The sequence below is a fragment of the Homo sapiens genome, chromosome 21, assembly GCF_000001405.40.
Source record: "Homo sapiens chromosome 21, GRCh38.p14 Primary Assembly".
Taxonomy (NCBI): Eukaryota; Metazoa; Chordata; class Mammalia; order Primates; family Hominidae; genus Homo; species Homo sapiens.
This window is the reverse complement of record NC_000021.9, coordinates 26,129,739-26,142,819: the sequence shown is the minus strand read 5'-3', so window position 1 is coordinate 26,142,819 and position 13,081 is coordinate 26,129,739. Positions and strand designations below refer to the sequence as shown.

The window sequence follows — 13,081 nt, the reverse complement described above, 5'->3', positions numbered from 1 at the left end:
GCTGAGTGACACTATTTTTGTTTTTTTTCACTTTTTCTTTACTTTTTTTTTGAGACAGGATCTCAGTCTGCTGCCAAGGCTAGAGTGCAGTGGTGTGGTCTTAGCTCACTGCAGCCTCGGCTTCCTGGGCTCAAGCGATGCTGCCACCTCAGCCTCCTGAGTAGCTGGGACTACAGGTTTGCACCACCAGGCCCAGCAGTTTTAAAGATTTTTTGTAGAGATGGGGTCTTGCTGTGTTGCCCAGACTGGTCTTGAACTCCTGGCCTCAGGCGAGCCTCCGACCTCTATCTCCCAAAGTGCTGGAATTATAGACATCAACCACCGTGCCTGGCCCCAGTGACACTGTCTTAATTTTGAATAGGGAAGTATCTAATGGTATTAAAATGGTCTGGCAGAGAAGGGGATATGAGGCTTGGTGAAAATAAGCACAGGATGCACCATCTTTGAGTAAGTGTTAGTTTCTGCAGTGAGCCAGCAGCAACATTCTTAGCAGAGCCTAGAAAGATCGAGTGAGGGCTGTGTGGTGGTGCAGCCTCTTAAGTCTCTCTGGTTCCACAACATGCTCAGATTGGTGGCTTTGATATTTTCTCCATCCAGGACGCATTGTGCTAAGCTTAGGGAAGGTCCAGTGGATATTTACCAAGCCTCTTATACTGCCCCGCATGTTGCCATGAGACAGCAGCGTTATCACCTTAAATGGTGCAAATACTCCTTGTGCATACCCTACCCCTGAGATCTAACATCTGGATTCTGGATACTGTTTCCTATTCTTCCATCTTGCTGCATGGTTCCCAGGTTATGTATATAGTGTGGCTAGGCACCACACATGGCCCTGGCTCCTTGCAGCCATACAGAGGTGACCTAACTGGATGTAATTGGGTATGTACCGGGTGTTGGCTACCTGTGCAGGTTGAGGGCCTTCCACAGGTCTAGCAAAGCAATTCATTGCCTTTCTGAATTTTTGAATGCTTCATTTGTGAAACCCTTGATGTAATAACTGTTGATATTATTTCTTTTTGAAAACTCCCCTTACTCTTCCCTGTTTCTTCATTTGTAAACTGGAACCGATAGAAAAGTACCAAACTTAGGGTTGTTGTGAGGCGTAAAAGAAATAATACAGCCCAGAGAACATAGTATATACTCAGCAAGTATTTATTAATATGACTACTAAGCCAGCATTGGTGATTGATTGGCTCATAGTGTCTTCTATTTGCCAGATGTTTTCAGAGGCTCTGTTCATGTTCATACCCATGTTTGTAAATGACAGAATGTAAATTTCTTAATCCTCTGTCTTCTCCTTTAGCATCAGCTCTTGTCCCCAAAGTAAAAGAACTCAGTCATCCAGAACCCAGTTTTGTAGATCTATTTTTCAAAATTGGGCAGTTAATAGAAAATTAAAAGCAGTCTAGGGAAAAGCCTTTCCTTTGGGTTTGTTGCTTTCTTTTCTGTCATAATAAGACTGTGCCCAAACTGTAGGGAAAAATCAAGAAACTGTAAAATACATCATCAGGGTGTTTATAGTAAATGTAAAACGTTAAGTAACATTTGAGTTAATCTGTGCTTGTACAAACCTCAGAAGCTTAAATAATGAACCAATGACATATAATTTAGAAAGTTTTCATTAGACTCTTTGCGTTGGTATTTGCAATATCAGATTTGCATGTCATCATTATTAGCCTTCCTCTATTTTGAGTGTTGACTAGGTGCCAGGCGTCATGTTGAGAAATTTATGTGCTTATTTAATTCTCACACTGACTCCATGAGATAGATACTCCATTTTACAGATGAGGACCCCACATCATAACCTTTTGGCCAGAATTACAGTTAGTGTTAGAATTTAAACCTATGCAGTCTCATTCCAAATCCTCTGTCTTTACTCCTCCAGAATGCTCCATTAAATGAATTGTTTCTTATAATCCGGTTGTTTTAACGTTGGAAAAGAACTTGAGAACATTTAGCCCAACCACCCTATGAAGTTTGGCAGTACTTCTTGCCATTCTTTCAATAGATAATTTATTTGAGTTTAAGGGAGAGTCTATGAATTAACACTAGTACCAAAACTCCCATGAGAAAATAATGTAGACAGCTTTTGTTAAAAAAGCAGAATTTTTAAAGGTGTTCATTCAGTTATCTTCTTGCCTAACAAGTTCCTGTGTTGTGATAGACTTTGAATTTGTTAAATATGAATTGGCTTCCTGATTCTAGCTGTTTTGCCAGAGGCCTGATTTAGAGAAGGGATTAAACCACTGGTCAACCTTGGATGGAATTTGGGCCAGCAGTTCCTTCTCCACAGCCCCTGACACTTGGCTTTGTGCCAAGAAAATCCTACAAAAGGAAATTGATTTACTCTACCCAAGACAGAGTTCCGGAGGCTTTGGTTGTCCATTGTTAGCTTAGAAGTTGGCGCAGTGTGCGTGTGATCCACGCCTAAATAGCACAGCCTTGCTGTGCGTGGTAGAAGTTGGGTTAGTGTTGACATGCTGTTGACTCACCCTCCCGAGGATGGAAGCTCTGGCCTGGGTCAAGTTGTGGTCACTGCAGTTAACAGTTTGTTGATCTCAGGGAGTATTCCACAGTTGCTGATGTAATTGACAATGATTGGAGCCAGCTCTTCCCCAGATTCAAATGGACCAATTAGAGGACTTGTTGGTTCTGTTTATCAACTATGTAAGTGAGTACTGTGAAGTTGGCATTGTTTTTAGTCTGTATTTGGGTAAGATGAAACTCTGTTCTCAGACAGTAATATCTTTCAAAAGTACAATGTTACTTATTGTGACCAAAGTAGGGATGAAGTTTGCAAATTATTTGGTGTAATGATTTAATTTGGCCATCCATGCAGTGCAGTTCTCTACCAGTGTGATTGTTCTCTTTGTAAAATACTCTTACTTTGCCAGAAAATTGTTTGTTTGTTTGTTTGTTTGTTTGTTTGTTTGTTTGTTTTGAGACGGAGTCTCGCTCTGTTGCCAGGCTGGAGTGCAGTGGCCCGATATTGGCTCACTGCATCCTTCAAGCAATTCTCCTCCCTCAGCCTCCTGAGTAGCTGGGACTACAGGTGTGTGCCACCACGTCCAGCTAATTTCTGTATTTTTAATAGAGACGAGGTTTCATCATGTTGGCCAGGATGGTCTTGATCTCTTGACCTCGTGATCTGCCTGCCTCGGCCTCCTAAAGTGCTGGGATACAGGCGTGAGCCACTGAGCCCTGTTGAAAATTCTTATTAATAAGATGTTTCTCATAGAATGTTTCAAAAAATTGTGACTGGTTTCAAAATCAGATGATTTGCAAGAATTAGCCATAGTATAAACACATAGTTCTCAAACCGTTTTCTGGGAGTGGGCCCAGAGATCTATTTAACAAAACCTTGAGTAGAGTCTGGTGCAAGTTAAAATTGGAGAACCACTAATGTAACCTTACCTTATCTGTGGACCACATTTTGAGCTTTGGAAGAAATAACCCTTTCTATCCTTCACAAGGTAACAGATGATTTTTTTGCACAATTATTTGATAATGAGCTTATATTTGAGATTAAGGTATGCACACGATAATGTACATTCTCACTCTAGGTCTGGGGACCTTGATTCTTTGACTCTTCTGTCCTTTTCTCTCCAGTTACTTGGTTTTGTGCATTAACAAACTTTTCAATTTACTTATTTTTTTTTACTTATTTACTTATTTCTCATCCCTTACGTAATGTTGCATCATTGTTTTTTGTAGCCTCTGCAGTTCAAGATACTAATCACCCCTTTCTACCACATTAAAATACAGACTCTACCTAAAATCATGTATGGGAGTAACTTGATATATACGAAAGTGTAACCGTGTCACAATTCCCCGCCCCACCCCGCCAGTCTACATAAAACTGCAAACACTTTATTGCTTACCAAGAAAGTAGACAATAATATCGAAGAAAGCCCTCCTTTTCCTCTTCTTTGACCAACAAGGGAGCAGTTCCTGACAAATGTCAGTTTGCTTTTTGAGTTCCTTAGGTTTCTGTGTTGTGTTTGCAATGGATAAATATTGAGTAACAGGTACTGACTGTATTGTATACATTGAAAACTATCCACCAACAGAATATTTGCAGGAGGATTTTGTTTTGTTTTGTTTTGTTTTGTTTTGTTTTGTTTTCTGAGACAGGCTATCTCTCTGTCACCCAGGATGGAGTGCCATGGAGTCATCATGGCTTACTGTAGCCTTAACCTCCTTGTCTCAAGCGATCCTCCCGCCTCAGCCTCCTAAGTAGCTAGGACTACAGGAGAGGAACACCATGCCTGGCTAATTTTTTTTTTTTTTTTTGTAGAGACAGAGTTTCGCTGTGTTGGCCAGGCTAGTGTTGAACTCCTGGGCTCAAGAAATCTCCCAAAGTGCTGGGATTATAGGCATCAGCCACTGTGCCTGGCTTGAGAATGACATTCTATAAGTAGTTTCAGTCCCTTAGTTTAATCCCATATTTTGATCCTATAACATGTACAATATTTGTGTATAGTATATGATCTGCCAACTCTCTAAGAAGATTTTAAAACTTATTATGTTAAATTTCAGACATATACATCATCCAGCTTCAAAAATTGACCACATTTTGCTGTTCTTGTTTCAGCACCTCCCCCTGCCCCATTTTCTTTTCTGAAGCATTTTAAAATAATTCTCAGGTATCATATCATTTTACTTCTGTTCATAGGTTTCTGAAAGGATTTGATGCAGAATGTTATTATTAAACCAGTATACAGAGAGAAAGGCCACTGGATATTAGTACATGTTTTGGTTTCAGACGGTCCTTTTAAGAGTATATTAAATCACATAAGGATTTTCTGAGTACCCATTAGAACCACAAAAAATACCTATGATACCCTTCTTACTGCAGTAGAAGATGAGTTTCCTAGGGTAGCCCTTTGTTGATGGAACAAACATGTATTTTGTTTCATCAGGAAAATCATTGGAACAGCCATGACTCAGATCCACTAAATGAAGGAACAAAAATAGGACCTGCCTCACCTCCTGATTTTTTTTTAAATCTCTAGGATGAGTAACCAGAATATTTTTATGTTGTGCTAAGTAGGTTTGTTTGTTTGTTTTTTACTCTGACTTATATTATTTGAATTGTAGAAATATATTGTTTTTACTTTTTTCTTTAAAATTCTATCTGGAGTTTCTAAATGAGAGATTGTAGCTCCTAAAACCTTTCTTAGTTTTGGTGTCTTGCTTTCTGTTCTTAGCGTCTGTGGTCATTTCTAACTCCCAGTGAGGAAAGAGCTCTCTGGTCTTGTTTCTTTGTTAAATGAAGGAGCAAACCTCCGTCTCGTTGATCCACTCCCAACCCACTTGTTTTGTAACAATGAAAGTTATCTCATACTTAAAAGACAACTTGAAATTATAACACACCTGTAACAAAGTAAAGGGTATGGGTTTTTACTTAGGTTTAAAAAAAGGGCAGTAACCCTTTTCATAAAAAAGCAAAATTTAGATGGGATAGAACCCCCGTTTATAGAAAAGATTTTAAAATCTCATTTGCTCTCATTGAAACCTTAACCTTCTCTCAAATACTGGCGCACCTCTGAGGAACTTCAAATACGGTTTGAAAACTAATGGTTTAAGGAGGGCCAGGCGCAGTGGCTCATGCCTGTAACCCCAGCACTTTGGGAGGCCGAGGTGGGCGGATCACTTGATGTTAGCCTGGGCAACATGGCCAAATGCTGTCTCTACTGAAAATAGGAAAAATTAGCTGGGTGTGGTGGCGCATGCCTGTAGTCCCAGCTACTCAGGAGGCGGAGGTGGAGGCGGGAGGATCTCTTGAACCCAGGAGGCATAGGTGCAGTGAGCAGAGATGGATCTCTTGAACCCAGGAGGCATAGGTGCAGTGAGCAGAGATCGCGCCACTGCACTCCAGCCTGGGTGACATTGAGACTGTCTCAAAAAGGAAGACGAATGGTCTAAGGAAACTAGTTTGTGGTTTCTCAGCGGAGAATGACATTCTAGTTTCTACAGATCTGGCAACAGAAGACAGGCACATAAACTGGCCTGCTTTGGAGTCAGGGCCAAGACTTAAATCCAGATTTAAAACCAGCTTTTTTTTTTTCTTCTTCTAAAACAACCAACCTGTGTTTTAGGTCCAGTGTCTGCCTTGTAAGTTGCTCAAAGCTCAGATACAAGGAAGTAATCAGCACACATTTTTGTGATAACATTCCTGAAAAGAAAAAGATGAGGTGGACTAAGGTAAATACACTGCTCCTTAAAAATCCATATTTTTAGATTATTTATAAATCAAATGGGCATGGTTACCAAAGATGAATTCTAGAGGTGTAAAACTCCAGTCTTATACCTCAAATTTCAGTTTTCCTTAGGGAGCAAAACACTTCCATGATCTTACTGAGGACCTAAAAAAGCCTGTACATATTTTAAAAATAGCACTCCCTAGATAAAGCCTGATGGATCCAGGGTACAGTAGAATCATGAAATTGCCTGTTTCTTTTTAAAAGATGTATATGATTGCTCGGTGGCTGTATATTGTCCATCGTGTGCGTGCCTGTGTGGTATGTTGGTTCTTTCAGAGAGGCAGTGGCGTGCAGAGTGAGAGGATCACAGATGTGTATGTGACAAAACTATTTCTTTTCTTTCTTTTCTTTTCTTTCTTTCTTTCTTTCTTTCTTTCTTTCTTTTCTTTCTTTTCTTTTCTTTTCTTTTCTTTTTTCTTTTTTGAGACAGAGTCTCACTCTGTTGCCCAGGCTGGAGTGCAATGGTGTGATCTTGGCTTACTGCAACCTCTGCCTCCTGGGTTCAAGCGATTCTCCTGCCTCAGCCTCCTGAGTAGCTGGATTACAGGTGTGCACCACGATGCCTGGCTAATTTTTGTATTTTTAGTAGAGGCAGGGTTTCACTGTGTTGTTCAGGCTGGTCTCGAACTTCTGACCTCGTGATCCGCCTGCCTCGGCCACCCAGCGTGCTGGGATTACAGGTGTGAGCCACCGTGCCTGGCTGACAAAACTATTTCTAAAACACAAGTCCAGATATTCCTACCAAGGGCTCTCTGGGGCTTCGTTTTGATTTATATGCAAAACACTCCTAATGTGGTGACATTGGGGAGATAAAGATCTGGGATGATGAGAGAGAAAGGCAGGTAGGACACATGCCCTTCCAGTAACTTTCCAGCTAGGGCTTGCATTTAACCTCTGATGGAGGCCTCACCATCCAGGCAGATGTACTTGCTTAGGAATGAGTTTGAGATAATAAGGCTAAATGTGCTGCCTTCTGTATATAATTTGCATTTGTCCTAATGTACGACTAAGGAAATGAAAAATCAAAGTTTGAGTGACTAAAATAAAAGAGGTCTGTGGAGTAATTGGATTGAATTTGCACCAAGTCAAGGAGAAAACTTCTGTATTTTGTATGTTTTGTCATGGTTCTATGATTACTTGTTAGAAAGTGATATAAAATTCAATAACTTAGTTTGATATGAACTTGGCTATCTTTAAGTTATAGAAGTCGTGCATATAATGTGGCTGTTTTCAACCCCCATACCCTTTCTGAGTGGTTGGAGATGTCTTGAATTTCGAAGTGAGAAGGTCTGGTGCTGTTACATAGATAATCATGTTAGCCAGCTTTACCTTCTGATAAGCTCTCAATTTAAGAAAGTACTTCTAATCCTGGCTTTATCTTTGGCTTGCTATCTTATTATGCACAGAGCATAATTGTAAGAAGGGAATAATATCTCTTGCTGTCTATTCACTAAGAATAGTGTGAGGACAGGGCTCTTAAAAACATGAAGAGATGGGCACTATTGTATAGATATAGAGATTTGATGAAATGTTAAAATGTTGGATGATTTTAAATGACAAGTGGAGTGGTGAGAAGTTTATTTTTAACCTTATGTGGATACCTTGGATATTTAGAAACATCGAAGTTTTAAGGAAGAACAAATATCTTGACTCCAAGAAAATGGTCATGTGATACTGTGGCATCTATTTGGTCTTCCTGATGTATATGTTTCCTGACATTTAGCTCCTAAAATCCTTGGAATCTCCAGTGCTAAGAAGGTCTTATATGCTAATGAGATGACTGGTGGCTGGGTAACCTACCATGTGATTAGAGGGTTAGGACTTTCAGTCACCCTCCCCAACCTCCAGGAGCTGAAGTTTGAGTTGATAAACTAATGATCAATGATACCTACATAATGAAGCTTTCTTAACAACCCTGAAGGACCGCGTTCTGGGAACTTCCAGATAGCTGAACACATGGAGGTTCCTGGAGGGTTGGATGTCAGGAAAGGGCATGGAATCTCGTTTTCTCTTCAGCCGCACCTCACCCCGTGCATCTCTTCCATCTGGCTGTTCATCTGTGTGTCCTTTGTAATATCCTTTAAAATAAATGGGTGAATGTAAGCAAGTATTTCTCTTAGTTCTCTGAAGGTGCTCCAGCAATGAATCAAAACGAAGTAAGGGGTCTGGGGAATGGTAGCCAGTTGGTCAGAAGCACAGGCTACAACCTGGGGCTTGTGATTGACATCTGAAGTTGGGGGAGTTTTGTGGTACTGAGCCCTCAGCCTGTGGGATGTGTAATCTCCAAGTACAGTGTCAGAATCCAGTTGAATTAGAGGACACTCAGCTGGCATCCATTATTGGCATGCAGTATTCCTTGTCATGAGCCTGGGCAACATAGGGAGACCTCATCTCTACAAATATAGCTGGGAGTGGTGGTGTGCACCTGTGGTTCCAGCTACTCAGGAGGCTGAGTGGGAAGATCGCTTGAGTCCAGGAGGCAAACATTGCTTCTCCTCCAAATGCTGTACTTTAACATGTTTGGAAACTCCTGCAAAGGAATTTCAACATAAGCGAAGTCAATGGGTTATAAAGGACTGAATGCCATTTTGTAAATGTCAGAAATCAAAGTCACAACCAAGTTAAGTTCTAGATTAGGGCCAGGAAGAGAAATGTATTATCTGGTCAACCATATCAAATCTGTATTTTGGTGGAAGAGCATTTTCTTATATTGGTTCTGATTGGTTTGATACGGACAGGGAACTGTTTTCTTTATTCCAGTTATTTGTTTTGTTTTGTTTCTGAGACAGAGTCTCGCTCTGTCGCCCAGGCTGGAGTGCAGTGGTGCGATCTCGGCTCACTGCAACCTCTGCCCCTCAGGTTCAAGCGATTCTCCTGCCTCAGCCTCCCGAGTAGCTGGGATTACAAGCGTGCTGTAGTTTTTGTATTTTTAGTAGAGATGAGGTTTCACCATCTTGGCCAGGCTGGTCTTCAACTCCTGACCTCATGATCCCACCCGCCTCGGCCTCCCAAAGTGCTGGGATTACAGGCATGAGCCACCGCGCCCGGCCTATTCTAGTTGTTAATCAGTTAACATAGCCAAAAGATATAGAATAAGATTGTAGACTGAATCCATAGTCTAATGATTTGTCTTCCTAGTAATTGTGAATAATTCAGACATTCAAAATTAGTCTGGCATCATACAAACATTAGACTAGTCCTAAAATGAGGATATTGGCAAGTGTGTTAATAAAAATTGCATATGCAGTATTAATAGGTTCCTTACGTAGGCTGCCGATTACTCAGGAACTGTCAGATGTTTTGTTTTGTTTTGTCTTTGAGAGATGGGGCAGGGTTTTACTCTGCTGGAGTGCAGTGGCACAATCTTGGCTGACTGCAGCCTTGACCTGCTGGGCTCAAGCGATCCTCCCTCCACAGCCTCCTAAGTAGCTGGGACTACAGGCATGCACCACCATGCCCAGCTAATTTTTGTATCTTTTTTTAGAGACGGGGTTTTGCCATGTTGCCCAGGCTGGTCTCCAACTCCTGAGCTCAGGGATCTACCCACCCATGCCTCCCTAAGTGCTGTGATTACAGGCATGAGCCACTGTGCCCAGCCCCCAGATTTTTAATCTTCTCTTTGACATTGAGTTTCAGAAATGAAGTATAAATGGTGAATTTTTAGTGTAGAATATGATGCACTAGGAAGATCACTTACCCGTTTATTCACTTTCTTAGACCATGTCAACCCGATTCTGAATTTAGGGTTCTGTTGTGATGGTGTTCTTTAGAAGTGATTTTAACACTCAAAATACTATAGTCTGTAACATAATTTACTGATTTTTTAATTTTTGCAAACTAAGTTGAAGTAATCAAGTATTTATGAGTTCTTTGGGTGAGACCATCTGTCAAAGAATTCTGGGCTTAATGGAGATACATATATGTTGTGAATACTAAACAGATATCCAAGTAATAAAGCAGAAATCATATGCTGTGTAACAGAAATGTAAAGTTCTGAATTAGTTCACGAGTAGGAGAGAAACTTTTTTTTAAAGGTAGAGGAGAACTAAAAGTAATTTCTTAAAAGAGTGCCTATTTTACATCTTGAATATTAAAAGTCTAATTCAGTGCCTTGGGATCTTGTTCTTTTTGTAGATTTTGATTTGAATGAACTTCAGTTTGCTGAAATGTCTAATGGGTGCAAAGTACAGATTTAATTATAAGGTTGAGCTAAAATCAGAATTTAAGCATATGGCATATATAATACCAATTTAATCTTTCCCCCTTAAATTTAGTTATTTTTAGTGAGTCCCAAACACCATATTTGAGACATCACTTTTTTCTTTTTTAAAGAGATAGGGTCTCCCTATGTGAGGCTGGAGTGCAGTAGCTATTCACAGGCTCGATCATAGCAAACTACAGCCTTGAACTCCTGGCCCCAGTGAGTGTAATGTCTCACCATGCCAAAGTACTTTTATCTTAAATTGCTTATTTTTTTGTTTATTTTTTTAACTGACTCTGTTTACAAAATTAACCTTTTATCTAGTGACAGCTAGATTGTATCACATTTGTCATCTATGGACAACTGATTTTTAGTTGTTTAATATGGTAAGTTTATTATTGTTTTTCCTTATTTAAGAAAACAGGATCTGAGTGAAAAAAAAAAAAATCTTAATTCAACTATCACGATTCCAGTAGGAAGTAGACAGACATTCATCTGTATACATTAGGTGTCAAAGTAGAGTTTTGTGGTTTATCATTCTGAAGATTTGAGATTCAAGACATGACTATCTTTCAGTCATATTGTGCAATAGATAACATATAATGTTTCTCACTGATGAGAACAGTTGGTTAGATCTCTCAGATGACTTGAATTAGGTATTAGTTCAAGTCAGTTGTCAGTAAGTTTGGCTTTATCGTTCAGAGGAGCTTCTTATGACTGGACATTTCTCAAGTATTGCCGTATTGGTCATTTGGCTATCAATGCTTAAATTATACTCAGTATAGTATAAATTTTCTTATTTCCCTTATTTAAGCATGCCTCCATTACACTGTTGTTGTCTCTAATAAGAGTTTAATAATCTTTGTTTTGGCTTAGTAAAAAGAGCCAACAAATATATGAGTGACTGACTGAGTGTATTGCTCTATGCGCAATTGTCTTAAAGGAAAAACGTTTATAGAATCACTGTGAACAATAAAATGGTTGCATTTCGCTGGAAAACCTCGGTGCTCCTTTGGTAAATAATGAAGTGTTTTGTTTTACGGGCCTTTTCACTACTTCATTGACAACAGACCTTTTTTTTTAAATTAATTAATTAATTTATTTATTTATTTATTTATTTTTTGAGGTGGCGTTTCGCTCTTGTTACCTGGGCCGGAGTGCAGTGGTGCGATCTTGGCTCACCGCAACCTCCGCCTCCTGGGTTCAAGCGATTCTCCTGCCTCAGCCTCCTGAGTAGCTGGGATTACGGGTGAGTGCCACCACGCCCAGCTAATTTTATATTTTTAGTAGAGAAGGGGTTTCTCCATGTTGGTCAGGCTGGTCTCGAACTCCCGACCTCACGTGATCCACCTGCCTCGGCCTCCCAAAGTGCTGGGATTACAGGCGGGAGCCACTGCATCTGACCAACAACATATATTTATATTACCCAGTAATAGGCATAGTCTAAGGAAGATAATAGAATTTATTCTTAGTAGTGAACTCTTTGGCTTTTGAAGCAGAATTTTTTTTTCTTTGTTCTTTTCTGTGATAGTAAGGAAGGAAGGAAGGGAAGGCTACTACTAAAAATATAAATTGCTAAATAGAAGTCAAGTCTCTGGGTGTTGAAGCTCACATATTGGTGCTGTCCAGACCTGACGCATCTAGAAACAGGAATTTGCCCTTAGCGTAAGCTTAGCCAAATGGTTGAGTCATTTCTAAGTATTTTAACATTATAGAATGCCTTAGGAAATGTCATGAATATCTAAAACAGGTCTTCTTGAGGATTTTATTAGTTTCTTAAAACATGGAAAGGAACTTGATTCTCAGTGCTGGTACCTAAAATTCAAAGACATTAGTTGTGAGTTGCTGTGCTCCTCAGCTCTAAGCCACAGTTGTCATGGCCAAGCCTGTCTCCTTATGGAGAGTGGCCTTGCTGTTTCCTGCAGAGCTTCTCTTGTGCCTGGCTTGTGCCTGGAAGTCAGCGTGTCACCACTTCAGAGAGACACTATAGAAGCTTGGTGATCTTCAAACAAGAACTTAAAACAAAGAAGTTTTCTTTCACAGATATCTTAAAACTTGTAGCTAAATAAAACGTGAATAACTGTGAGAGCCTCATTACAGCAATTTTTAAAAAAGCAGTACATGTTTTGTTGTATCTTAAACATCACAGAATGGTATTGTGTGTCCAGTTTTGTTTGTAAAATGTAACCTTCGTGTGAATGACCATCTATTCCTTTCTTTTTGGAAGGTTAGTTTGTCAGCTGTTGTGTGATGCTCAACATTTTATGTAATGACATTTAGCACAACGTTTCAATATAACATCTCAGGAAAACATTTAAGAAATAGTGAAGTTCTCTGGGTATTACATTAATCATATTAATTACCTGTTGCTTTTAATTTATCACCGTATCACCCTAATATCACAAGGCATGTGTAGTACTATTTTGTAAAGATTTTCTAAAGACCTTCCCTCTATAGGAAGGAAAATTTAATTCAGAAATTGGGCTGAACTCTCTTTCACTTGTGTGAAAATGGGAAAATTAGAAGTAATTTGTATTTTTTATTGTGAAATCAGTGTAGGAACCTGTGCTCGTATCATGGAAACAACAGCACTAATGTTTTTCTCCCCTCGGGT

General features: G+C 39.7%; 1 protein-coding gene and 1 long non-coding RNA gene across 12 annotated transcripts in view, besides 1 other annotated feature; both read left to right on the top strand.

The window, feature by feature from the left end:
- The window catches only part of APP (amyloid beta precursor protein), a 290,579-nt gene that overhangs the window by 28,309 nt on the left and 249,189 nt on the right, over positions 1-13,081 (top strand). Inside the window, exon 1 of one of the 11 annotated variants that reach the window (NM_001136016.3) lies at positions 2,430-2,667. The exons of the other annotated variants lie outside the window; for them this stretch is intronic. Within the exon in view, the coding sequence (NP_001129488.1) occupies positions 2,626-2,667 (42 nt within the window). The 5' untranslated portion in view covers positions 2,430-2,625. Of the gene's footprint in view, positions 1-2,429; positions 2,668-13,081 lie in introns of those variants that run through there. 11 annotated transcript variants of the gene reach the window in all.
- Positions 1-13,081, top strand: part of LOC124900466 (uncharacterized) — a 34,434-nt gene that overhangs the window by 14,320 nt on the left and 7,033 nt on the right. The gene's annotated exons all lie outside the window — the stretch shown is intronic.
- Positions 2,009-3,208: an enhancer, noted in NCBI's record as "BRD4-independent group 4 enhancer chr21:27511930-27513129 (GRCh37/hg19 assembly coordinates)". NCBI's record gives its function as "activates an origin of replication core promoter dependent on BRD2, P300/CBP, MED14 and CDK7 cofactors, and independent of BRD4, by STARR-seq in HCT116 cells {active_cell/tissue: HCT116}" and the evidence as "EXISTENCE:reporter gene assay evidence [ECO:0000049][PMID:35650434]".